The sequence below is a fragment of the Homo sapiens genome, chromosome 5 (genome assembly GCF_000001405.40).
Source record: "Homo sapiens chromosome 5, GRCh38.p14 Primary Assembly".
In the NCBI taxonomy this organism is placed as follows: Eukaryota; Metazoa; Chordata; class Mammalia; order Primates; family Hominidae; genus Homo; species Homo sapiens.
The window spans coordinates 146016037-146043626 of NC_000005.10; the positions used below are offsets into that span (position 1 = coordinate 146016037).

The following is a 27590-nucleotide window of genomic DNA, read 5'->3' on the forward strand; positions in this document are numbered from 1 at the left end:
CACTCCAGCAACCCACATGGTGCCTAGACCCTAGCAGGTGCTCAATAAATCAAGGAATCAAGACTTTTAACGTAAATATCTGGGCAGGTGGTGGTGACATATACTTAGGGAAGACTTGAGAAAGAATTAATTTCCTAAAGAAAGATTACAGATTAGTGTAAATCTTCCAGCCAATAAACATCTGTTGAATGCTTGCAATGTGCTAGTAACCATAGTGAGTACTGGAGATTCTACTACCAAAACAAGAAGAGTAATATAACCTCAAACTTTACTGAAACTAATATGAGACGGATGGATCTATAGGTAGGTAGGTAAGTAGATGGATGGATGGATGGATGGATGGATGGATGGATGGATGGATGGATGGATAGATGATTGATACATAGATAAATAGATAGATAGATAAATAGATACAGTGATATCCTCTGATAGAAAAGTCTCCTTTTACTCTCAGTCTCCTAAGCCTCCCCTCCATTCTAAAACTGTAATAAGAACCTTTGTAGGGGAGGTATTATCAACACTTTATAGCAAGGTAATTAAGGCCCCAAAAGAAAAATGATTAAGCCAAGTTCGTGTAATTTAGTAAAGAGTCTGGATTGAATTTAGAATTGTCTAATTCTAGAACATAAGCTCTTGTCACTACACTATGCTGTCAACCAAGACCACACTAGGCAACATTCTGCCAATGTAGTTTATCCTGGATGTCTGCAGCCTCCCTTTTCTTGGTTGTCTTCACTTGGCTCCTTTTGAATGCTAAGGCCTTCCAGCATTTTCTTCTCCACCCACCCCCTCAGTAAAGAATTTGTCCTAAGTCTTTTGCACCTGAAAAAGGCTTCCATTTACTATCACTTTGTTTCTTTATGAACTACCAGTTGTGTCCAAACATTGTGTATGGTGCTGATGGCACCAAGAATAAGCTGCTGCCTCATTCTCCTCCTGTGGTAGAGACAAGTCTTGGATTGTCCCTCAAGTCTCAAACCCCAAGGGGTAGCATTTTCTTCCTTTTCATAATGAGAAGCCAGAGCCAGGAATATTTTTTCCCCTTTGTCATTGTGTCTTTCTACCTGTGGGAAACCACTTGAAACTTCTGGGTAGAGCATCAGGAAATGACCTCACAGATGAACTGCAACTACGGACTAAAAACAATGGCACTCGAAAACAATTCAGGATTAGACCTGAAGATACTGAGTAAGTTCGGTGGAAAACTGCAGTGGAGGAAGTTAAGTGGGTGGATTGAAACCAATGCAGCTGGCCTCTGGGAGAGTCCTGGAGACAAAGAAAATCAACTGCACATGACACAAGTTAGAAAGAAGTCCTTCAGAAATGCCTCTTTGGGGAGTCACATGTGCAGGGCCCTCCCTGGAGATTCTAAAATTGACTTGGTTCAGGATGTGGATCCTGCTCGCCCTCTGCCTCCCACACTCACAGAGCAGTGAAGCATTCTTGTTTTCCTAAGAGTTTCTGCTCCTCAATATGCCTTCTTTCTCCCCTTCCCCTCCTCCTCCCCATCCCTGTCCCACTGCCAATCCTTCATCCCTACTCCTTAAGCCTCCCTCCTTCTGTATCACAGATCCAGGGTAGCAGAACTGCTATGCAACTAGAAAGCTCTTTTTCCCTCACCTCCTACATTCAGCTAATCAGTAAGCTCATTGTGCCACCTAAATAGTTATTGCTATTGCCCATTCCATTTCACTGCCTTAGTTTGGGTCCTCATCTCTTGCCTAGACTATTGCTCCAGCCTCCTCACTGGCCTCCTAGAGCCCACACTCAATCACTTCGCCTCACCCCGCCCAATCCCTCCCAACCCCATCCATACTTCCAGTCTTGGCTTCATAATGACCTCTTGCAAACCCAAATCCTTTCAGCCACTTCTCTTCCCCAAACCATTAATGGATCCCATTATTGAGTGATCACAAAAAGCCAGAAACTATAATAAGTGATTTACAAACATATGACTGTCCTCAAAACTGTTCAGAGTAGGTATTGGTATGCTCATTTTACCAAACGGGAAAACTCTGGGAGTGAAAGATTAGGTATTTTTCTTAGTCTTTTTTTAATTTTAATTTTTTCATTTCAGTAGCTTTAGGGGTACAAGTGGTTTTTGGTTACATGGATGAATTGTATAGTGGTGAAGTCTGAGATTTTAATGTACCCATCACCGGAGTAGCCTCCATTGTATCCAATAGATAATTTTTCTTCCCTTAACCACCCTCACCCTCCCTCTCTCCTTTGAGTCTCCCATTTCCATTATACCACTCTGTATGCCTTTTCATACCCATAGTTTATCTCCCACTTAGTGAGAACATGCAATATTGGTTTTCCATTCCTGAGTTATTTCACTTAGGATTATAGCCTCCAGTTCCATCCAAGTTGTTGCACAAGACATTATTTTATTCTTTTTTATGGCTGAGTAGTATTCCATGGTATATATATGTATGTATGTATATCTATATATCTATATATAGATATATACACACCCACACACACACACACCACATTTTCTTTATCCATTCAACAGTTGATTCCGTATCTTTGCAATTGTGAATTGTGTTGTGATAAACATATGCACGCAGTTGTCTTTTTGTTATAATGACTTCTTGTCCTTTGGGTAGATGCCCAGTAGTGGGATCAAATGGTAGATCTATTTTCAGTTCTTTGAGAGAGCTCCATACTGTTTTCCATAGAGGTTAAACTAATTTAAATTTCCACCAGCAGTGTTTAAGCGCTCCCTTTTCACCACATCCATGCCCACATCGACTGTTTTTTTACTGTTTAATAACAGTCATTCTGACTTGGATAAGGGTGGTATCTTATTGTGGTTTTAACTTGCATTTCCCTGATAATTAGTGATATTGAGCATTTTTATATGTTTGTTGGCTGCTTATATATCTTGTGTATCTTCTTTAGCCCACTTTTTAATGGGATTGTTTGCTTTTTTCTTACTGATTTGAGTTCCTTGTAGATTCTGGATATTAGTCCTTTGTCAAATGCATAGTTTGCAAATATTTTCTTCTATTCTTAGGTTTCTGTTTACTCTGATGATTATTTCTTCTGCTGTGCAGAAGCTTTTTATTTTACTTAGGTTTCATTTATTTATTTTTGTCTTTGTTGCATTTGCTTTTGTGGTCTTAGTCATAAATTCTTTGCCTAGGCCCATGTCCAGAAGAGTTTTTCTAGGTTTTCTTCTAGATTTTTTATGGTTTCCGGTCTTAGATTTAAGTCTTTAATCCATCTTGAGTTAACTTTGGTATATGGTGAGAGGTAAGGATTCAGTTTCATTCTTCTGCATGTGGCTATTCAGTTTTCCCAACACCATTTATTAAATAGGATGTCCTTTCCTCAGTTTAGGTTTTTGGGTGCTTTGTCAAAAATCATTTGTTTAAAAGTGTTTGGCTTTATTTCTGGGTTCTCTATTCTATTCCATTGGTCTATGTGCCTACTTTTATACCAGTACCATGCTATTGTGGTTACTATAGCCTTGTAATATAATCTGAAGTCAGGTAATGTGATGCCTCCAGATTTTTTCTTTTTGTTTAGAATTGCTTTGACTATTTGGGCTCTTTTTTGGTTCTATATGAATTTTAGGATTGCTTCTGTGAAAAATGATGTTAGTATTTTCATAGAAATTGTATTGAATCTGTAGATTACTTTGAGCGGTATGGTCATTTCACGATATTGTTTCTTCCAATCTATGAACATGGGACGTATTTCCATTTGTTTGTGTCATTTATTATTTCTTTCAACAGTGTTTTGTAGTTCTCCTTGTAGAGATCTTTCACCTCCTTGGTTAAGTATATTTTTGTAAATATTTTTAAATTATTTTTTTAATAGCTATTGTAAAAGGGATTGAGTTCTTTATTTGATTCTCAGCTTGTTTGTTGTTGGTGTATAGCGATGCTGCTGATTTGTGTACATCGATTTTGTGACCTGAGACTACTGAATTCATTGATACATCTAGGAGTCTTTTGGAGGAGTCTTTAGGGTTTTCTAGGTATAAGATCATCAGCAAACAGAGATGGTTTGACTTCTTCTTTTCTAATTTGGATGCCCTTTATTTCTTTCTCTTGCCTGACTGTGCTGGCTAGGAATTCCCAAAAAGATTAAGTAATTTGCACAATGTCTCAAGGGTAGAAACAGGGTCCAGACTTGAGGGCAGACCTGTGCTCCCTTCCCTAAGTGAGATTTTAGTATGATATTCTAGACTCTCCATGATCTGGCTACAGTTCACTTCCTGGTCTCCCAGGTCTGCTGACACACACACGTGCATACACATAAAAGTACGGTGTGTGTGTACATTCCTATATGCACACCATGTACTAGGCCACCTCTTTGCTTTTTGTCCTTGTACCCAGCACAATGCCTGCATTATTCTGGGCAATGAACAAATGTTTTTTGAATAAATAATTGCTGTTCCTTCTGGAATTTATTTTTGTTGCATTCACCTGTTGCCCTCATATCCATACCCCAAGGCCCTGTAAGCATATTATTTTTCAAGGAAGCTCTTGCCACTGCTCCTCCGCAGAATTATTTCTCTCATATATATCTCTCTTGTATTCACAGCACATTGTTTATACTTGTGTTGTAACATATATATTAGAACATATAACACCCTCTTTACACTATAAATACCACATATATATCTTACCAACATGCGTAAGATTGAAAAACTTTTAAGAGCAAGCTTGATGTTTTGTTCACTTATGTGCTCTTGAGTTTCCAAACCCCTCTTCTGATTACCTAGAACAAAAAAGACAAGAGAGAGAGAGAAAAAGGTGGGGGTCACTTAAGTCAGTGTAAGGAATGTAATTCCTTCCTCCACTGTCCTGCATCCTATGCCAGGATGATAATGACAAGTCCAAGCATCTTTCCTGGGCTCCTCATCTGGGAAGATGAGCTGTCACGAGCCTTGGGGAATTCTGAGGTCTATAAAGCTGACTGTCCTTTTAACCCCATATTTGAAATAGTCTGAATAAAGTAGTTTCTGGGAGCTTGAACTATTATAAGTCCAGATCTTCTCCCAGGGTGCTCCTTCATCACTGTCTTTCATAGGAGTCACAACCCAACTTTATGGTTCTCAGGGCTGCCATGAGAAATGGTTTACTTAGCACTAATATATATATTTTTTCCTTTGGATGGTTCTCAGGGCTGCCATGAGAAATGGTTTACTTAGCACTAATATATATATTTTTTCCTTTGGACACCCTCCCAGTTCAAATTTATATTTAAGATTCTTAGCTAATCTTCCTTCTTGAGGTAATTTACAGAGATAAATTAACTCTATGTTTATAGTCTTATGATGATATCTCCCAAGATAAATATTTCTTTTATTTTACAATTTTCACTCAACAAATTCATACTCATAAGTGATGTTGTCAGAGCACTCCAGAACTCACTGAGCATTCCCAAAGAGTTGTGGGTAGAAAAGAGAGGAGGCACCATTAGATGAACACCTATCCCCTCCAATTGCTCTGTCCCATATTATCATTATCTGCCCCCATAGTGCCTTTTATAGGGCCTACTGAGTGTCTGAAATGTGTTTGTTAAATTTTTGAAAATGTACCCACTGGGTAAATATAACCCCTTAAACTTTCTCTTAAATTACCAGTTAAGGCCTTAGCAGGGTTTCACAGGCAGGTGGCTGAAAGCAAGAAAGGACCAGAAGGCCTCCCACCTCTCTCTCTATTTTGCCAGAGCCCCCTGGGTAAAGAACTGTCATGAGCCACCCAGAGATACAGTGTTGTACAGGAGAAACCATGGCAGTCTTAGACCCAGGTACCTCTTCCCCAGCCCATGGTGGGATGTAGGACCAATCAATACTGAGCTTGTTTCCCACCAAAAAATGAGAATTAACCTCTGACTCACAAGGTTATTGGGAAAATCAAAAATAAAAAGTGAATATAAAGTGCTTGGCTACCACTTTTGTTATTGTTGTTATTTTAAAACTTTTTAGCAGTCAAAATGTCTTAGCAATCAGTTGCTGGATTGCTCTTCAATCCCTATCCTGTTATTTTTTGGACTTTTTATAAAAGAAAATTTCAAACGTATTTGAAAGTTGAAAGAATAGTATAATGAACCCTCATGTACACATCACCTAGTCTCAGCAATTATCCACTAATGGGCCAATCTTATTTCAGATATATCTCCTTTCATTCACCTGCTCCCCTCTTCGGTTATTTTATTTATTTATTTTAGATAAAGTGTCACTCTGTTGCCCCGGCTGAAGTGCAGTGGCATGATCTTGGCTCATTGCAACCTCTGCCTCCCAGGTTCAAGCGATTCTCCTGCCTCAGCCTCCCGAGTAGTTGGGACTACAGGTGGGCACCACCACGCCCAGCTAATTTTTGTATTATGAAGAGAGACTAGGTTTCACCATGTTGGCCAGGTTTGTCTTAAACTCCTGACTCAAGTGATCTGCCCACCTTGCCTCTTGGATTATTTTAAAGCAAAGTCCAGACATCATATCATTTCGTCCAGAAAAATGTCAGCAAGTGTCTCTTTAAAAATATTTTTAACATAACCATGATTCCATTATCACACACTAAAAAATGAACAACAGGCCAGGCACGGTGGCTCATGCCTGTAATCCCAGCACTTTGGGTGGCTGAGGCAGGCAGATACTTGAGGTCAGGAGTTCAAGACCAGCCTGGCCAACATGGAGAAACCCCGTCTCTACTAAAAATACAAAAATTAGCCAGGTGTGGTGGCGCATGCCTGTAGTCCCAGCTACTTGGGAAGCTGAGGCAGGAGAATGGCTTGAACCAGGAGGCAGAGGTTGCAGTGAGCCGAGATCTTGCCGGTGCACTGCAGCCTGAGTGACACAGAGCAAGGCTCCATCTAAACACACACACACACACACACACACACACACACACACACACACACACACAATTCCTTAAAAACATTAAATATTCAGTGTTCAAATTTTTATATTTGCCTTATGAATGTTCTTAGTGTTTGTTCAAATGGGAACAAAATGAATTAAACACATTGCATTGAGTTAATATGGCTCTTAAATTTCTTTATTCTACATATCCCTCCTTCTCCCTTAACCATCTATACATTAAAAAAACAAAGTCACTTGCCCTTTTGAATTTTCCAAATTCTGGATATTACTGGTTGCATTTTTGCAGTGATAATACATTCCTCTCTAGCCCATACATTCTTTTTTTCTTTTTTCTTTTTTCTTTTTTTAGACAGAGTCTCACTCTGCCACCCAGGCTGGAGTGTAGTGGCATGATCTTGGCTCACTGCGACCTCCGCCTCCCAGGTTCAAGTGGTCCTCCCACCTCAGCCATCCAAGAAGGTGGGATTAAAGGCATGCACCACCACACCTGCCTAATTTTTGTATTGTTAGTAGAAACAGGGTTTCACCATGTTGGCCAGGCTGGTCTCAAACTCCTGGACTCAAGTAATCCACCCGCCTCGGCCTCCCAAAGTACTGGGATTACAGGTGTGAGCCACTGAGGCTGGCCTCCCCCATACTTTCTGTAAGCTGATAGAACTAGAGGCTTGAAAGCTTCGGGCTCAATTTTTTGTCAAGAATACTTCATAGGCAGTACTAAGTACTTGTTTTTTAGTTTGGTTTGAGTTTTTTTAAGTGTACAATTCAATGGCTTTTAATATATTTACACAGTTGAGCATTCATCACCATAGTCAATTTTAAACATTTCCTTTACTCCAAAAAGAAATCCCACACCTCTTAGCCATCACCTCCCAAACTACCATTTCCTTTAACCCCAGCCCTAGGAAACCATTAAGTTACTTTCTGTCTTTATAGATTTGCCTATTCTGGATGTTTTCTATAAGTGGAAGCACACAGTATTCGAATATTTGGATCTTTGTGGCTGGTTTCTTTCGCTGAATATGTTTTTAGGTTTACTCATGTTGCGGTATGTATTAGTACTCATTCCTTTTTATGGCAAATAACATTCTATTGTATGAATATACCACATTTTGTTTATCCACTCATCAATGAATGAGCGTTTGGGTTGTTTTTACTTTTTGGCTATTTTGAATAATGCTGCTATGGAACATTTGTAGACATATGCTTTCATCTGATTATATACCTAGAAGTGGAACTGTTAGATCATATAGTAACTCTGTGTTTAAGGAACTGCCAATGATTTTCAAAAGTGATTGCACCATTGTACATTCCCAGGCTTGGTGTATGCAGGTTGCAATTTCCCCACATCTTCGCCAACACTTGTTTTATTATCAATCTTTTTTATTGCAGCCATCCAATTGGGTGTGAATGTTATCCTATTGTGGTTTTGATTTGCATTTCCCTCATGGCTAATAAGAGCATCTGTTCATGCGTTTATAGTGCATGTGTTCTTTGGAGAACTGTTTTTTTATATCCTTTGCCCATTTTATCATCGGGTTTCCTTATTATTATTGAGTTGTAAGAGTTCTTTACATATTCTAGATTCAAGTCCCGTATCAGTTATATGACTTGCAATTTTTTCTTTCATTCTGCGTGTTGCCTTTTCACTTTCTAGGTGTGTCCTTTGAAGCACAAAAGCTTTTCATCACATCTACTCTTTCCTTTGTTGCTTGTGCTTTTGTTGTCATATCTAAAAACCAGTGTCTAATTCAAATTCATAAGTATTTATCACTGCATTTTTTTCTAAGAGCTTACAGTTTTTACTCTAATGTTTAGATTTTATGATCCAGCTGGAGTTAATTTCTATGTATGTTGTGAGATAGGGATCCAGATGCATTCTTCTACCTGTAGATATGAAGTTGTTCCAGCATCATTTACTGAAAAAGACTATTTTTTCCCATTTTGTTATATTTACACTCATGTTAAAAATTAAGTACTTTTTATAGCAACACATCAGGAAGCACATAATGCCTAACTGCCTCCCTTTTTGTATTAAAATTGATTCTATTCAAGTGTCAGCCTGCTCCATCCATTAAATGGGTCCCCATTAGCCTTTTACCGGGTGGTTTGAACATTATTTCATTAGGGGTTGCAAAATGATGGTGTTCCAAATCTGTCACTCCTGAATTTTTTTATGCCACAATTCTTCCATAATATTGAGCTATTTGTAAGACACAGCACTGTGAGCTTTATCTCACTATTGATCTCCACACCTACACATCATAATCCCTCAGCATATATTGGGGAGTCCAAAGTTCATATTCTTAACCTCTCTCTCTGTCTCTCTCATTTGTTCCTGGGCATTCCCCTAGCTCAAAGACAAGATTCATTTCTCACCACCTTCCCGCATGGCATGTTTGCCATCACTGAACAGCCACCCCTTTTTCCACTGGCCACTGCCAGCTGGGCTAATCTTACTGCCTGCCTGTGCAGTCGCCTTGTTTACATCCTTGCCACTGCCGTAGGCTGGCCCCCAGTCCAGGCCTCCTTGGCCCACATGTTCCCTCCCTTGCCTTCCTGAGGTCTGGTTCCCACACTTGAGCCAAGATCAGGAGAAAGAGGCCCAAGTTTGTTCAGCTTGGAGAAGAAAAGATTGATGTGGGGTTGAATGATGACTTTGTTTTTCCAAACTTGCATTTCTATACCAGTTTTATTTTCCTGTGTTCTGAAGAGAAAAGGAACATAAATCAAAACATGAAGGATTTAAGGAAGTACAATGAGAAATCTCTCCTACCGCATAGACTGCTGGAAACTAAATACTGCCAATGCTGAAGTGGAATCTATGGATTCTGTTGTTGTTTTTATTGTGTTTGGTTTGGTTTGTATTTATTCTACAGAGGAAGGTAGCTTAGTACAAACAAAAAGGTTTTGAGTCAGGCAAAGCTTCTTGTCATGGCTTTGCCATCTGGTAACTAAATGACATTGAAATTAAGTATCTAACCCCAATAAGCCTCAGTGTACTCATCTGCAAACTGGGATAACTCCTTCCATGCAGGGTCTTGGCAATGGTAGCAATAACTCAAGCTGCAGCCATTGCTATTACCTTCCCCCTCTTTCCTCCAAGGGGAGCTTTTAGAATCTGTCATTTGTGTGACTGGGGAGAACCCTGAATTAACACAGGGAATGGGCCAAACGTTTTAAAATCTAAATGATCATTCCAATCTGAATGTTTTAAGGTATAGTTTTTCACAACTACTAACAGATATGGAGGAGGGGGTGATCTTGCCTCTTATATGTAAAACACTGGCAGGAAAAGGTACTTCCTTAACAGACTCAAGGTCTTCCCCCAAAAATTAAATAAACACATGAATTATAATTTAAAATATAACTAATAGTCCCTACAATATATAACATCTTTGAGCCACATAGTCCCAGGTGGCAGTAACCTTTATTTGCACAAGAAAGGTGATAGATACATCACGAGCGAGGCCTCAAAGAATGTGATCCTAGCACTCCCACAGTTAACTGTATAGCCCTGGACAAAGGGTTTTGCCTGTCTGGGTCCCAGTTTTCTCATTGGAATGACAAAAGTGGCTTGGCAGAGTATTATGTGCGTTAATTGGCTAACAGCACACTCTGAAGATAGGTAACACAGGGAAAGAGCTGTTTCTATTATTTAATGAATCATGGTTATTGTTGTGATTCTTCCTGTCTTCTGCGGGAGCACACATTTACACAACAGACCTGTTTTCTTTCTGTCTGGTGCAAAGTTTTGTCAGGCCCCGCAGGTATTGGGTAGAGCTATTCTCTGAGGCAAAGAGCTTCTCAGCACAGGCAGTATAGTAAGGAAATAAAAATATGGGCTTTGGGGTCAGCTAGATCTAGGACGGAACTCACACTGCTTCTTACCAAACAGTATAACCTTGGGCAAGATACTTTACTCCGTCTGAGCCTCAGTTTTTATATCTGTAAAATGGGACTAATGATGGTAATTTTCATAAGATGGCTGCGAGGATAAAACAAGGCAATGCTTATACATGAGATAATGGCCAGGGTTTAGGAGTGGTAAATGGCTCAATAAATGTTCACTCTGTTGTTATTATTATCATTGGGTCAAGCCAGGAAGCTAAAACCATCTCCCATCCCCACTGCCCCAGGGCCAGCCTATACAAACAGGCCCTACTGAGAATGAGCTTGATCAGCCACATGCTTCAGAGATGATCTGTTGGAGCCTGCTTTGAAGTGCAAAGGCTTCCAAAAGCCCCTTTGCTTTCTTGATAAGCAGTGACAATTCCAGAATTAGGGAAGGAGTGTGACTCTTGGGACAATTGCACTTGCTTAGTTCATACTGTAATTCCGTGTGAACCCATGTGAGAGAAGCCAAAAATGAATGCAGGAAAAAAAAGACTTTGGATAAAAAAGTCAAAGATAGAGACTGAGGCAGAGCCAGTCATCTGTCCACCATTTCCTATACACACCTCGCAGTTTTTTCTGGGAATGCTGTCCTCACCTGGCAAGCGTCCAAAGCCCATTGTGAATCCTAGTTGCCAAAGCCCCTCACAGCCTGTCAGTGAACCAGTCAACAGAGTTGTCGAATGCCCACCAGGCACTGAGCTGGGCACAGGTGATACAGTGAACAAGACAGACATGGTTGCTACAGCCATGGAACCTCCAAGCTAGCAGGGAAGACAAAAACTAAACAAATTATTAACATACTTGATTACAAGGTATTAAGCGTGCAAAGTGCTAGTGAGGTTCAATTATGGGAGATGAAGGGAGTATGTAATGGAGGGTCCACCTAGTCTAGAAAGTCAGAGAAGCCTGCCTGGAAGAAGTGATCTTCAGGTGAAAACCTGGAAGCTGATAGCAGTCAGCCAGGTGAAAAAAGGAAGCGAGCTGAGGTTCTGCACACACCTCTCCTTAGCGCTGCAGCCCAGTTGCCTTTCTACTGAGGTCACTCCAGAAAGCGCCAGTACTCCTGGGGCACAGTGACTTCTGCAGTACTTAGATCCTCAGCCCTGCCCAACCTCCCCGAGGTCCTCGGTCTGGTTTCTGGTGACTAAAGCAGGTTCGATAATTAACATTGCTTACTTCCTTGATTCAGCATTTCTCCAGCAAGAGGTTAAACTTTACATCATCGTTTTGCCCAATTAATCCTGGCAGGTGAGTCACTGAGACGACCCAACCCTGCCCGGGTGGAAAAGGGAGCGGCCTAGCCTGTACCTCAGACATTTTAATGTAGACACTATAGCTCTGGGAGCTGGGAGCAGGGGACATTGATATCCAAGGCCAATGAGGCCTGCAACACACACACACACACACACACACACACACACACACACACACACACAGAGATAATTCAACAAGAAAGGAAGACAAGAGAAGCAAAATAAAACAGAAGGGCAAAAGAAAGGGAAAAGCAATGTAACAGGGTAGCATTCTGGGAACAAAGAGGGTAGTATAGACATGTGGGCACAGACAGACCTTGATGGTGCAGTGGCCTCAGCCAAGTGGCTCAACCTTGCAAGACCTCAGTTTCACCATCTCAAATGGGAAAATTAATAGCGTCTTCCACACAGACCTGTTAGGAGATGAATGAGATACTCGCATACAGAAGGCTTTCTCAGCCTCAGCACTATTGGCATTTTGAGCAAGATCATTGTTGCGGCGGCCGCCCTGGGCATTGTGGGGTTTTTAGCGGCATCCCCGGCCCCTACCCACTGATGCCTGTAGCACCCACCACCACCACCCACCCACCTGTGGCAACAACAGACATTACCAAATGTTCCGCAGGGTCAAAGTTGCCTCCCGCTGAGAACAGCTGATGTGCAGAATGTAGCACAGGGTCTGGCTTGTAGTAAATGCAGAATAAAGGGCAGTTAAGTCAAGGGCTGTGTGAAAAAGATGCCCTTTCTGAATAGCCCCAGCAGACCACTCTTCTCAAACACATGGGAGAATAGAAGGGCTTTGGGGAAACCTGACACTTCCCACAGGTAGGATGGGGAGACTTGCCTGTGCCCTGTCCCTGGAAATGCGCCAAAACACGAACGCGCTCCTAGCTGGAGAAGCTGAAAGGACCTGTGCGTTGAGTGGATTGTTGGAAAAACATATTGTGCAGAGAAACATACATATGTAGTGAAAAGAAAAACAAATTGTGCAGAGAAACATACCCCCACAACAATAAACAAAGGCACAATAAATACATAATTCAGGCCCACTTTCCATTCCCACTCAGCTCCAAGAAAAAAAGGAACTCATTTTGTGACAGACCCAGTGCCACAGTCTTACATCCTCTGTGAGTATTGTTAATCGTTGTTACTTCTTTCCATTTTAGATGGAGGAACTGAGACTCAGAGAGGCTAAGTATCTAGTTCAGTTAGCAAGTGCATTTCAGAGTTTTTGTCAGAACCCAGGTCTGGCTGTCTTCCGGGCCCATGCTCTTTCCCTGCCCAAGCAGTGGGAGTAGTGGGGCATCTCACATGCTAACTCAATTGTCCCCAGAGATGATTGAGGAGAGATTCTGGGACAGCAACCAGACTCAGTGGGAAGGAATAAAGGGATCAATTATCCATGTCTGTTGCGGGCCCAGGAGTAGGAAATGGGTGCATGTGCCGTGTGTTTGCCATCCCCACATAGGCCCATCATCTGAGACTCGGTGATTCCATATCATTCTATTGGGCACTCCCTGGGGGCCATGCTGGGCTCGGGGTACATCTGGATTTGTTCAGCAAACAAGCTTCTGTGCTATTTGCTTTCTCTGCACATAAGCTGAAAATCAGGCCTTCTTCCTAAGGAAGAGTTTCTACAGAGGGCACAAAAGGGGCATGTTCTTCCATTGTTTTCATAGAAAAACAAGATATGGGCCCCTATATCACAACCCTCTGTGAATGCCTCAGGAACTTTATTTTTGATAAATGACAGTGTGTTAAGAAAAGAAAACAAAAGAAAGATAAAGAGAAAACTCCAAGAAAATTGACCATTTTCTTTCATCAAAGAAAAAAACCATTTATTGTATCTCAATGCACAAGCTTTGGGATATGTAATATCCATTCTTCTCCCTCTCTTCCCATCCCAAAACAATCAAGCCCTGATGGAAAATTGCACAACTAAATGCGAAATAAAAACTGGTTACGTATGCAAAGAATATTGCAAGCACCAGTTTGTCTGTTTCCAAGACACTTCAGCTAGGGAAGCCCTGTTTTCTCACGCTGAGTATAGGGCAACTCTGAGGACAAAAAGGGCAGAGTCAGAAATGAGAACAAATCTTTCCTACTCTCTGGGCTGCTCAAGCTGCCTAACTGAGCCCTTGTGCCTTCCCCCACTGCCTTTGACTTGACCTGAGCCAGTACTGATGAGAGAAATCTTGCTGCTTCCTTGCTTCTGCTCACAAATATGGTGTGTCTACCATGTGCCCATGTGCCCATGTCGTTTCATTCAGTGAAGATTTACTGAGGCCCTATTCTTTGCTAGGCCTGGAGCATATACTCAGGTGACAAACCCTAAACAGATTTGAACCAGACACACTGGAGCACGGAGAGAGTTTACTACTTTAATCATTTGTCTGCATTCGTTTCAAGGAGGCAGGACACTGATGAGGTCAGAGAACACCTATCCTGTATTTTCAAAATCCAATTGATTCCCTGTGCCCGGGATTAGGCGCTTGCTGGGCCCTCATCTGTCTACGTCTGTAGAGAAAGCAGTAACCAGGTCACTAGGAGGACTAACCCCTAAACTATTTCTGCTATTGGCATCTGGAAATTATCCACTGTTCATTCATTTCTTTGAGCTATAACAGAATTAGCAAATTACAGCCTATGGTCCAAATGCACCTGCTGCCTGTTTTCATATGGCCAGAAAGTTAAGAATGGCTTTTACAGATGTGATTTTGAATTTATTGGGGGGCAGGGGTGGGGGGTGAAAATCAAAAGAATAAAACTCCATGCTGTGAAAATTATATAAAATTGTATTTTCATTGTCCAAAAATAAAGTTTTATTGGTACTCAGCCAGGCTCACTCTTTACATAACATCAATGGCTGCTTTCACACTAGAAGGAAACAGTTAGGCAGTAGTGACAGAGACCTTGCACAAAGCCTGAAAGATTTACTTTCTAGCCCTTTAGAGAGTTTGCAGATCCCTGGGCTAAAAGATTGGCCTCTTCCTTTAAAAAGCAAACACCCTCCTCTGGTCTAGCCACTTCTGAGGTCCCTAATGCCTTTGTGAGAATGTGTGTGCCTGGTCACTTTGGGCCCTGTAGGGAAGAAGGAGCACTGGATGCCTGGGAGGACACCATCCCATCTGCACTTCCAAACAATTGACATATGCCCCCAGGTTGGAATTCTGTCACTTCCCACCTTGTTTTGGAATTTACCTAAGCGTACCTTAATGCCCTCAACTCCTTAAAGACAGGGTAACTGATGTCCCCCTGCTCCCTCCAGGGTTAAGCCCAGTTGAGCCTGGCATGAAGAGATGGTTAGTAAATGTTTGTTGAATGAATGAGTGGTGAAGCGAGTGAAATCCAGTGAACATATACATAGCTATGTACATAAGCCAATAAACAGAAGAGACTGAACGAATGATTAAGTGATGGAGGAATCTGATGAAAGAAAGAAGATGTGAATGAGTGTGTGAGGGAATTCTTATAATAATGAGGAATTTAATAAAGAAATAAGTATGTAAGTGAATGACGGAGGGAGGGATCAACAGGGTGGGTGAGTGAGAAGTGAATGCAGGCCGTGGGTTCTCTGCAAGCCCACAAAGGGTATAAGGGGCAGCAATGCCAAGCTCTGCTGTGTCATCATTTTGCCTTGCTTGCTCTTGTCCTGCCAGCCCTGGGGATTTTGAGAGTAATCAATACCCTTCCCCATGGAGTGTGTGTCCATGCTTTAGTGCTTTGATAGCTGGATTCTCTCAGAAGGACAAAATCAACTGCACCCCTAAGCTTGAGGCCAGGCAGCCACCATCCAAGACTGTAGCCTCCCATATATGGAAAAATACACATTTGGCTGGTGCATCCCCAGCACCATCCCTTCCATGTGCCCCAGGTATATAAGACCCACCCCAAAGCTAAGCACCTCACAATGATGCATGCTCCAGGGGTAAGAGACAAGCAGCATGTTGGGTTTGGATGAACTTCATAGCCAAGGTCCCCCAGCCAGGTAGGAGGGCATGGAATGGAAAACACTTTATCCAAAGTAGGTCTCCCATCATCTATCTCTGCTTCCTTTATGGTGTATATTTTATTCGTCTGTTTTCTTGGTTTTTGTTTTGTATATGAGTATCTTGTTTTACCTGCCATCTCCCTAGAATATAAGCTCCATAAGGACAGAATGAGGCACATGGAAAGCCTAATAAATATTTGTTGAAAATTAGTGAAACATAGTCTGGAAAGCAAGTCAAGCAAACCAACCTCTTGAACCAGCTACCAAGACATGGTACCCTCTCCCAGTGGTGGACTTAGGTCTGACTCTGTGGCCAAGCCCCATGGGTGATGACCTTCAGCATGCCACTTCCCCTCAGAGGATTAAATTGGGTGGTCTTGAAGCTCTTATGGCTTCAAGATCTTCAGCTCTTACATACTAGGATCCTAAAGCCAGGGGAAGGGGCTTCAGATTTTTCCAAGATTCATATAGGTAATATGAACCTGAGTTCCCTGACCAAAACTCTTGAAAAAAAATGTTGTCTATTACATAGGAGGCAGCAATTTCATCTGGCCAGTGACCGAGGGGTGAGGTGACACTAGGTGTGGTGACAGAGACAATCCAGATGCTATCTTGGCTCTCCTTCAGGCTTTACCAAACCTCAGCTCAGGGCCAAAGCCCAGCCTGACATCCTACTGCCTATGCCTTGGGAAAGTTAGACAAGTGTGCCCATAAATCACATTTCTCTCTGGTAACACAGAAATGACTGGGAAATCTCTTCTCAGGCGTCTTTGCAGAGTTCCAGAAATGGGGCAAACCCTTCCTGGCTTAGCCTAGCAAATGAGGCACAGGGAGCTAAAGAAGCCCTTCTCTGAGAATCCCAGCCCTCACCGACTCCTGCCCTCTAGAACCTTCCAGACCTTGGAGCCAGCACCACCTGATTCTCCCTCCAAAATATACACACGGACTTGTGTGCTGTAGTTAGGGCTGAGAGGACAGGCTCTGAAGTCACAGTCACATCATGTAGGTTCGAATCCCAGCTCAGCTTCCTTGCTGGCTCTGTGGCCTTGGGCAAGTTACTAATCATATGTTTTTGCCTTGACATTCTCAACGCCAGATGGGAAAAATGATGATAATGGTATTTAGCCCTTTGGTTTGTTGTGAGGATTATATGAGATAATAGAGTGTTTAGGAATGTGTGGCCTCTGACAAGTATTCTGTAAACATTAGCTCTTGATTTTGGAACTCTGTTTTCATTTTTCCCATCTTATCTCAGTGAGATTACACACTCCTTAAGGGCAAGGAGTATGCTTTCTTTTCAACCTTTTTTGTCTTTCACATTGTCTTACCTAGGAGCATTTGTCAATTGGAGGAGACCAGATATTCCCAAATCATGTCTCTCCAGAAGTTACAGGAATTTCCTTAGTGAAAATCTATGAGCACTAGCCCTTAGCTTTTTTTTTTTTTTTTTTTTTTTTTTTTTTTTTTTTGAGATGGAGTTTCACTCTTGTTGCCCAGGCTGGAGTGCAAAGGCCCGATCTCGGCTCACTGCAACCTCCGTCTCCCAGGTTCAAGCCATTCTCCTGCCTCAGCCTCCCAAGAAGCTGGGATTACAGGCACGCACCACCACGCCCAGCTAATTTTGTATTATTATTAGAGACGGGGTTTCTCCATGTGGGTCAGGCTGGTCTCGAACTCCCGATCTCAGGTGATCTGCCCACCTCAGCCTCCCAAAGTGCTGAGATTACAGGCGTGAGCCACTGCACCTGGCCATGCCCTAAGCCTTTTTGTGGGAAAAATGACACCCACGTTTTGTGGAAAAAGACGCTGAGTTAGGGAATATCAAGAAAAGGTAAAGAACAAAAGTAACACTCCTCCCCCACAAATATATCCCCATTGTTTGTTGTTACGAAAGTCTTATTACCAACAGAAGAGACAATTGGAAGGATGGTTTTCTCACATCCATCCCAGATGGTGTAGACACTGATCTTCCTAAAAGCAGACTCAACAAACATTTACTGACTGCTTAGGTATTGTTCTAAAAGGTGGGGATACAAATAAAAATTATGTTTGTTGTAAGGATGGGCCAAAATTAGGGATTCTCCCCTTCTTAATGCAAATGCATATTTTCTTTCCTTTTTAGCACAATGAGATAAAAATATCAGGACATCTGGAAACAAAGATTATCTGAAGGGTTTTATTCTCCCTTTATTTCCCATCAAATGCAGTGCTCTGAAGAGTGAGCTGCATTAATTGCCCAAACAGCCTGGGTCCTGAGCTTGTGTGGCTCATGCAGTGATGGGAGAGGACAGCAGAGGGCTTGCTTGCAGGGTAGCTGAACCTCTCCAGGCACCACAGGCTGGGACCTCGGGGCAGGGATGGTGAGTCTCTGGGGACAGCCAATTAAAACTGTTTAAATCTCATTTGAGACCATGAAGGACAACTTCTGATTTCCGCAGAACCACACAGAGCCAGCAAGCATGCCATCCAGAAGGAGCTTTAAGTGATGGCTTTGGAAACACATGCCCTTTTCACTTGCTGAGATCACTGAGCCTGTCTCACTGGGACCCTGGTGGACTTTGTGGCCACATTCTAATAATCCTATGAGAAGGAAAAATTGTCCTATGACCAACCAAGGTCTCAGCCTCAGTATGAGGTGTCTTCCCAAGGATATCCAGTGATAATAATTCAGAAGATGAAGTCAGACACGCCAACAAGAAGGTATCAGGGAGTGTTTCAAGGAACCATGAGAGCATTGGAGCCTAGGTTTCCAAGAATGTAAATCCTTCATTTATCGAGGGCACTCAGTTACTCAAAAAAGAACAGAGGCCAGGTGCAGTGGCTCACACCTGTAATCCTAGAACTTTGGGAGGCCAAGGCAGGTGAATCACTTGAGGTCAGAGCTGGAGACCAGCCTGGCCAACATGGTGAAACCCCATCTCTACTAAAAATACAAAAGTTAGCCAGGCGTGGTAGTGCACCCCTGTAATCTCGGCTACTCAGGAGGCTGAAGCAAGAGAATTGCTTGAACCCGAGAAGTGGAGATTGCAGTGAGCTGAGATTGTGCCACTGTACTCCAGCCTGGGCGATGAAGTGAGACTCTGTTTCAAAAAAAAAAAAAGAACAGAGACAACTGCTTTGATAATGGGTGGTGGTGGTAGGCGATTTTTTTTTCTCTTTTTTAAAATAAAAATGTTCGTTGTTGTCGCTGTAATATCATTTGAGAAAATTTTAAAATAAGAGACAACAAACACATGGCAGAAAGTAAATTTTCTGAAGATGCTGAGATGAACTTGACATTGCTAAATTATTTCTGGGCTCACTAAATTCCTTAGAAGGGATTTTTTTTAATTAACTTTTTTTTTAACTTTTTTTCATTCTGACTTCAGTTTGCTTCACCAGCCATCTCCCCTGAAGTGACACCTTAGATTTTAAAAAATTGACAAGTCCTTAGGAAAAAAGCGTCCCTAAACCAGATGAAGGAATTTAGGGCCAGGCAGGTTAAATAACTTGCCCAGGGTTACACGGTCGGTGAAAGCATAGCAAAGTGGGGACCCATACCCAGGGACATCTGAATTCAGAACCCAAGTTCCTAACAGTTATGCTCCCATGTCTCCTGTTTTGGTCTGCTGCTTTCCCTCATCCACCTCTCCTTGTGGGTCCACATTCCTTAGTTCAGAAAATAACCTCCATCACCAATATCTCCACCATAAAAAGCTACTTTATAAGGACGTAGGTCCTTCAGTCCATACGAGAGGTGAGTGGAGCATGGAAATTTCTAGATGTCCAGAGACTGCCCATCTTTGGGATACTCTTGTCTGGGGAATGTGAGGGCAGGAGCCTGGGGTAGGACAGATAGTAGGTTTGAGGCACAGTCTCCACTGTCTGTGAGTGCAGTGGCCTCATCACGGATCCCCCAGGCCTAGCACGGTGCTTGGTACCTGGCAGATGCTTTACAAGCATCTTCTGTGAGTAAATGCCGTGAGGAGAACTGCAGCAGACTTCAGAGAAACTTTGCATACTTAAGTTTTTGTGGCCTTTAATGAGGCCTGGTGAGAGGATTTAACCATAATTACTGCCAAACAGTTACTTCTTCAAGTGGACTGTTAGGATGAGGAGGGCAAGGGTTATAATTAAGACTTCTGTGTACCCTGGCATTTCAAAAAGCCCTAAGAGTACCCATCCCATCACACTCTGCTTTGATGCCCAAACTCTGCTTTGAAAGCAGCAGGACCCTTGGGCTCAGGAAAGCATGAGGTAGAAAATAGCAGGGGAGACCAGACGCAGTGGCTCACACCCGTGGTATCAGCTACAGAGGCTGAGGCAGGAGGATCGCTTGAGCTCAGGAGTTTGAGACCAGCCTGGGCAACATAGTGAGACATTGTCTCTACTTAAAATAAAAATTGTTTTTATATGGCCAGGCATGGTGGCTCACGCCTGTAATCCCAGCACTTTGGGAGGCTGAGGCGGGTGGATCACTTGAGGTCAGGAGTTCGAGACCAGCCTGGCCAACATGGCAAATCCCCATTTCTACTAAAAATACAAAAACTAGCTGGGCCTGGTGACACACGCCTGTAATCCCAGCTATTCTGGAGGCTGAGGCACGAGAATTGCTGGAACATGGCAGGCAGAGGTTGCAGTGAGCCGAGATCACGTCACTGCACTCCAGTCTGGGTGACAGAGCGAAACTCTATCTAAAAAAAAGAGAAAACAGCAAGGGAGTGGCAGGGCAGGAGACATTCTGTGCCCAACCAATGGGGAAAGCATATTTGTCTTTGTGGTTTGAAGTGTGGGTTGCATTTTCTGCTTTTTCCCAAAAAGCTAATGCAGAGCATAGCTATGGGGAAGTGCCAGGGATGGAAGCCTCAGGATCCATGAGAATGGTCAACCTAGCACCGGGGAAAAGGAAGAAAGACTCCTAAATACATGTCCCCACACTTGGGCTAAGCCACCCCTCACTGGGTCTTCCTCAAAGGCAATCTGGACTGTGGTGGCTGGCCTTTGTATCCTAGAGAATGAATCTTTCCTTCTTAAATCCAGTCCAACTGAGGAAGTCCTACTGTCTGCTTCTTCTCCCCAGACATCTGCTTTGTATGTCTCCTATGTCATAATAGTGACAATGGTAACCATTTATTGGGTACCTCATGTGAGCCGGACATTATGCAAAGCACTTTGCTTGCATGTTCTGATTGAACCCTCACAAGAACCTCATGAGGTAGCCACTATTCTTGCCCCCTTTCGTAGATAAGGAAACAAGGCTCAGAGGGATTAAGTCTGAGCCTCCCACAGCCAATAAGTTACAATGCCAAAGCTCAAACCCACATCAGACAGCCCCAAAAGTCCATTCTGTTAGCCGTGGCTGCATAGTGCCTCAAGAAGCTACAAAAGTCCTCCTAACTGTGACTGCTCCCATGGGGTTCCTTTTAAGTAAGGCACTGGGACTCTCGGGTGCTCTAAGGACTTGAATTGATGATGTATGGGGGGTCCGCATTGGCTGGGGTTTTCCAAGGTTCTATGTAGATACTCTAAGTACCACCTTTTCTCCCCAACAGGGAGGCCACCTGGCAAATGTTCCCACAGGAACTTCTCTTCAACAAACAGGGCTTATGGAAAAACATTTTACATCTGGTAAACAACTCTTAAAAACCCTTCAGAATAACATTGTAAGCATTTAAGAAATAGAATCAGCAATTTAAAATCTTCCTATACAGAAAACTCCAGACCCAGACAGATTTACTGGTGAGTTCTTTCACACTTTCAAGGAAGAGATAATTTAACTATTATATAAATTCTTCCAAAGAATGGAAGAAAACTTTCCCCGACTCACTTCATAAGATTAGGATAGCCTTACTATCAAAACCAGGAAAAGACAACATAAGAAAGGAAAAGTATAGTTCTGCTTCACTCAGGAACACAGATGCAAAAATCCTCAAGTATATGTTAGGAAAACAAACCCAGAAATGCAGGGAAATGGCATATATCATGATCAAGTTGGGTTTTTCTCCAAGATTGAATGGTTGGTTTAGCATTAGAAAATTAACTGATATATTTTATCACATTAACAGATTAAAGGAGAAAAAAATGTGATATTTTCAATAGGTACAGAAAATGTTTGATAAAATTTTATGTCCATTCATTATATATTAAAAAGTCTTAGCAAACTAGGAATAAAAAGAAACTTACTTAATGTGATTAATGGAATCTATTTAAATCAGTGGCAAACATCATACTTAATGGTGAAATGTTGAAGGCATTTCCTTTAAGATTAAAAAAAAGAACAAAATGCCCATTTTCATGTTTCTGCTCAACACTGTCCCAGAGGGCCTGGCCAGCACAGTAAGGCAGGAAAAAGAAGTAAAAGGTTAAGTCTTTGAAAGGAAGAAATATAACTGTCATTATTTGCAGATGATACTATTGTCTATATAGAGAACTCAAAAGAATCTAGAAAAAATGTAATGGGAATAAACATGAGCTTATCAAGGTTGCTGAATACAAATCAATATAAGAAAGTCAAGTTCATCTCTGTACACTAAATAGAAAAATGATTTTTAAAAAGGTACCATTAACAGGAGCAACTAAATTGTTTAAATCTCTAGGAATAAATATAACAAGACATGCAAGACCTTTATTGAGAAAATTTATAAAACATCATTGAAAGACATTAAAGAGGCTCTAACATAAGTGGAGAATTATGCAATGTTCTTGGATGGGACAACTTAATATTTAAAGATGTTGCTTCTCCCCCAAATTTAACCATGAATTCAAATCCCAGTGGGTCTGTTTGCTGTTTGTTTTTATGAAACTCAAAAGGTGATTCTAAGATTCAAATGGAAGAACAAAAACGCCAAGTGCCAAGACACTTCTGACGAAGAAGATGGAATTTGGTTGGGGTAAAGAATTGGACTTACCCAATCAGATTTCCATTTTTATTTCAAAGCTAATTAAGATGGCATGGATCTAGCATAGGGATTCTATTAAACCAATGGAACATGCTGGAGAACCTAGAAACAGACACAGCATAGAGGCTTGATTTATGACAGAGCAGACTTTGCAGATCAGAAGGGAAGGATGAACTATGGTGCTGGGCTAATTGGGTATCCATGAGGAAAAAGATGAAATTGGATTCCTCCCTTGTCAAAAATCAATTCCAGGTGGATTAAAGACTTAAATGTGAAAGGCAAAACTATAAAACTTTTAGAAGACAGTATAGAAGTATATCCTTATGACCTTGGGAGGAAAAAAAACTTATTGAAGACTGTTTAAAAACGTGAACCATAGGAAATATATTGTGAATTTGACTATATGAAAAATCAGAACTTCAGTTCATCAAAAGACACCACAGAGTAAAAATACAAGCTACAAAGAATTCATATCCAATATATTAGAACTCCATAATTTAATACAAAAATAATAAATAACCCCATGGAAGAGCGGGATACGAAGGGCATGAACAGGCATTTCATATAACAAGAATGGCCCATAAATATTTGAAAAAAAAAAACAAACTAAAGCTCACTGGTACTCAGAGAAATTAATTTAAAACCACAATCAGATAGCATTTCACACCCACCCAATCAGCAGGTATTAAAAAGCCAGGCCTTACCACATGCTGGTGAGACTGTGGGGTAACAGTAATTGTCATTCACTGCTGGTGGAAGTGTAAATTGTTACAGCCACATTGGGAAACAGTGTGTTATTGCCCAATAAAACTGAACAGGCTCATACCCTTTGGCCCATCAATTCCACTCCTAGACGCATATCCTGGAGAAATTCTTGCCCATGTGCACAGGGGACATGTACAAAAATGTTCATAGTAACATCACTCATAACAGCCCCAAACTGAAAATTGCCCAAATGACACATAACTGACAGAATGGTTAAATGGTGGTATAGACACAGAACGAAATGTAAGAATCAGCAGTGAAAATTAGCCACAAATATATGCGAAAACTTCCTGTTAAGCAAAAGATGCAAGTCACAGAATACACACATTGTGAGTCCATTCATACAATGTTCACAGATAGACAAAACTAAACAACATACTGTTTAGGGATATATGCCAAGGTGGTAACAACATAGAAAAGACTTGGAATGATTAACACAAACTTCAGCATTGTAGCTACCTCTGGGATAACTTGGGAGAGAGACTTGATTATGGGGGAATATGCAGAGGGCTTCTAAGCACAATATTCAACTTCTATTTTTATTGTATTTCTTAAGTTGGGTGGTATGTATGCAGGTGTCTGTTTTACGGGTGGTATGTATGCAGGTATCTGTTATATTATTATTCTTTAAATGACACACAAAATATATATACTTATCCGTATGCAAAATATATTTATAATTTTACATTTTAATAACAAAGGGAAGTTACAGTCAGACCAGAAGTGGGAAGTGGGAAGTAACAGGTAGGGGGGTGGCCAGGAGAAGTGCAAGGTCAGGGGTGTGGCCTGCTCAAAGAGCTAAGAAAAGACCCCACTGAAGTTGAGGGGGAAGGGAATGGAGAAAGGTGAGGCTGGAGAGCAAAACTGGAGCAGATCACAGAGGATCTTCCAAATTTTGATGACTACTTGGGAACTGTAAATTCAGTAGTCTTCACAGAGTTATGCAATATAACCCCTGCAGACCTGGCCGTGTACTTCAGAAAAAAAAGTATTTTTGAGATGAACCTAAAGGGACCTGCTGACAGCTCATAAATGAGTTCTCTATCTCAGACAGTGTTTTTACTCTCAGGACAAATAAATAGCTCTGGGTGGCTGCTCCTTGCTCATCAAGAACAGGGAGGGTTGCAGGCAGGGCTGGCTCTGAAATAGGCGTAGATAGAGAAGGGCTGATAGCCTCCTGGCAGCCGAAGCTCTGACTCCCTCTGCTCTGCCCTGCCAGGGAAAGGACAAGAAAAACAAGCACAGACAGCTTCATATTCCACTTGCCTGCAGACCTATTCCATATTACTAGGGACACGTGACAGGAACGGTGGTCATCCTGTCCACGAGCATAAACACACATGCCTCCTCCGTATGACCCCTTTAGCCACACTGAGATCTGGACATGTTAACCTTGGGCTCTACAGAAAGGACTCTGAGCCTAGGGTCCTTGCTTCTGGCATCAAGCTGTCCACCCATTTGGCCACTTCCTGAAAATTGTGAAATCTTTTTATCTCAGTTTCTCCATCTATAAAAATGGGGATAATGACCATGGGGCCCATGTATAAATTAGCACTGGAGTCATAGCATGTGAGGGTGAAGCAGCCCTTGGAGGTCCAGGCAAGCCTCTTGTGCTAGCTCCCAGAGCGTCCTGATCTTCCCCGACCCCAACACGCTCAGGCTTACACAGCATAGTTATAGGTGTCACTGAGTATGAGTATGTTACACAGTATGTTACAGGAGCTTCCTGGCATACACTGTGAGCTCCACATGAGAACGGAGCCCTGCGTGTCCTGCTTATTGCAGTAACCCCAGTGCCTAGCACGGTGCCTAGGACCCAATAAGGTCCACACACAGCAATTACCAAATGTGGCTCTTAACTTGTTTTGAGTCTATAGAAGGGAATGAGCTTTTAACTTTATAAAGTCAGATGGTCAACTCCAGATTGTCCCTAGTGGTGGGTACAGAAACTACCAATACCTAATTTTCTATCTCTAAAATGCAGCCCTAGGCCAGGCGCAGTGGCTCATGCTTGTAATCCCAGCACTTTGGGAGGCCGAGGACGTATCACCTGGGCCCAGGAGTTGGAGACCAGCCTGGGCAACGTGGTGGAACCCCATTTCTACAAAAAATACAAAAAACTGTCTGAGCATGGTGATGCACATCTGTAGTCCCAGCCACTCAGGAGGCTGAGGCGGGAGGATCGATTGAACCCGGGAGGTTGAGGCTGCAGTGAGCCATGATTGCACCATGGCACTCTAGCCTGGGTGACAAAGCAAGACCCTGTCTCAAAAAAATAAAAAATAAATAAAATAAAATGTAGCCCTTCTCTCAACTCTGAGTGAACACTGTAGGTTCAAGGCCCTTGTTAGTTTTGGGGAATACCAAGTGTAGTGCCATACCAGCTCTAGAGTAGTTCACACTTTGCTGGGGAAGACAGTCACCCCATACCCGCCAAGTTACCGCAAGGCAAGAGCCCTGGAGGAAATAGCTGAGAGCCACGGCATGGGATGGAGAAAAACAAACTTACATTTGGAAAGGTGGAGAGGTTTTCTGCTAGAAGAGAGAAGCAAGGTTGCTACAGACACTCTTCCCCATGCCCACCACATTCTTGGGTCCTGCTCTCAGTCCAAGACCTTGCCAGGCTGTACCATAAAAGGCACCCCACCCACTCTGTCCCCACCCTATGCAGTAACTAATCTCTTTGCAGATCAAAATAAGTAATATCTATTGAGCACTTACATTGCGTCAAACCCTGTGCTAAATAGTTTATATGGATTACTTTATTTAACCCTCATAACAACTCTAAGAGAGAAATACCATTATTGCCCCATTTTATCGATTTTGAAGAAATGGAGGATCCACAGAATTCAATCACTTGTCCAAGATCACAGGTTCTGGTAGATGGTAGAGCCACTGGCCTGAGTCCTAAGTTAGACCTCCTCTCTGGACTCCTAAGAGGTAGCTGCATTTTCTATACCTGAGTGGCTGATGGTGAAGGCAGCAGGGCCAGCAGGGCAGAGCATTGCCAGCAACTCTGTGCCAGGAGGCTTCATACCCTCTTCCTCCCTCACTTAGCACCTGAAAACCTGGAAATTCCCAGAAGCCATATAACTGTGGATTCTGCTGTGGTTGATAAAGACTTCTTTTAAGTGAGTCATTTCCTTCAAAAGGGAGGGAAAAAAATGTGTTTAGATTTCAGCAAGAATGCCCTTCCCCACCACACCCGCACACCCTTACTTACCCCGATCTGGCTCAGGACTCGGAACCCTGTGCCAGGGAGCATCAGTTGGTGGAGAACCTCCCATCCAGCCTCACAAACTCCTTGTGGCACAGGCACCTGAGGTCACAATTGACCCCAGGGAAAGGAACCAGGGCCAGGCCCATTCATTCAGAAAGGCTGGGCCTCCTTCTTCGATCCCAGTGACAGGAGCAGACTTGCCTCCTCAGAAGCTGGCCATCTGTCTGGTTATCTTCACTTACTGGGTGGGGCCTTCCTTTCTGTCTTGTTCTGCCTGTCTTCTTTCCCACCCAGTTTCTCTCTTCTCTGCCTATGTCTATCTTGTTCTCTTTTCCTGTCTCTCCAGTCATTCATTCGTTCATTTTTCCTTTGCCTTATTGATTGAGCCTCTGATCCATAGGTTCCCATTCTTGGTTTCTCTCCTATTCAGGTGGCCCCCTACCATGAGGGTTACTTGCTAGCTGCCCTCTATGAAGCTGAGCGATTCTCATCCCCTTCCCTAATTCCAGACCTCGAGCTGAGTCAAGCTAAGGCCTCTTGGATGTTTCCTGTGGCCTTAACTAGATAATGTATTCACGTTTTTTAACAGCTTTACTGAGGTTTAATTATATACAATAACACTTAAGCATTTTGAGTATACAGTTCAAAAACTTTTGGTAAACATATACAGCATGTAATCACTACCAACATCAAGATACCAGATGTTTGCATCATCTCAAAAAGCTCTCTTGTGCCCCTTTGCTAT

At 42.3% G+C, this 27590-nt stretch overlaps 1 protein-coding gene and 2 long non-coding RNA genes across 7 annotated transcripts in view, besides 3 other annotated features; 1 reads left to right on the top strand and 2 right to left on the bottom strand.

Annotated features, from left to right (window-relative positions):
* The window catches only part of LOC107986458 (uncharacterized), a 131758-nt gene that overhangs the window by 80336 nt on the left and 23832 nt on the right, over positions 1–27590 (bottom strand). Inside the window, exon 2 of the long non-coding RNA XR_001742913.2 lies at positions 4646–4737. This is a non-coding gene — a long non-coding RNA (uncharacterized LOC107986458). The remainder of the gene's footprint in view (positions 1–4645; positions 4738–27590) is intronic.
* Positions 1–27590, top strand: part of SH3RF2 (SH3 domain containing ring finger 2) — a 145196-nt gene that overhangs the window by 79459 nt on the left and 38147 nt on the right. The gene's annotated exons all lie outside the window — the stretch shown is intronic.
* Positions 10006–10801: an enhancer, noted in NCBI's record as "OCT4-NANOG-H3K27ac hESC enhancer chr5:145405605-145406400 (GRCh37/hg19 assembly coordinates)". NCBI's record gives its function as "activates a minimal SCP1, AML or CMV promoter by ChIP-STARR-seq in naive and primed H9 embryonic stem cells {active_cell/tissue: H9 hESC(naive and primed)}" and the evidence as "EXISTENCE:reporter gene assay evidence [ECO:0000049][PMID:30033119]".
* Positions 10802–11595: an enhancer, noted in NCBI's record as "NANOG-H3K27ac hESC enhancer chr5:145406401-145407194 (GRCh37/hg19 assembly coordinates)". NCBI's record gives its function as "activates a minimal SCP1, AML or CMV promoter by ChIP-STARR-seq in primed H9 embryonic stem cells {active_cell/tissue: H9 hESC(primed)}" and the evidence as "EXISTENCE:reporter gene assay evidence [ECO:0000049][PMID:30033119]".
* Positions 11617–12816: an enhancer, noted in NCBI's record as "CDK7 strongly-dependent group 2 enhancer chr5:145407216-145408415 (GRCh37/hg19 assembly coordinates)". NCBI's record gives its function as "activates an origin of replication core promoter dependent on BRD2, BRD4, P300/CBP, MED14 and CDK7 cofactors, with strong dependence on CDK7, by STARR-seq in HCT116 cells {active_cell/tissue: HCT116}" and the evidence as "EXISTENCE:reporter gene assay evidence [ECO:0000049][PMID:35650434]".
* Positions 26370–26905, bottom strand: LOC107986459 (uncharacterized). The gene is made up of 2 exons (XR_001742914.2): positions 26849–26905; positions 26370–26768 (listed from the first exon to the last, which is right to left on the bottom strand). It is a non-coding gene; the product is annotated as an uncharacterized LOC107986459 (long non-coding RNA).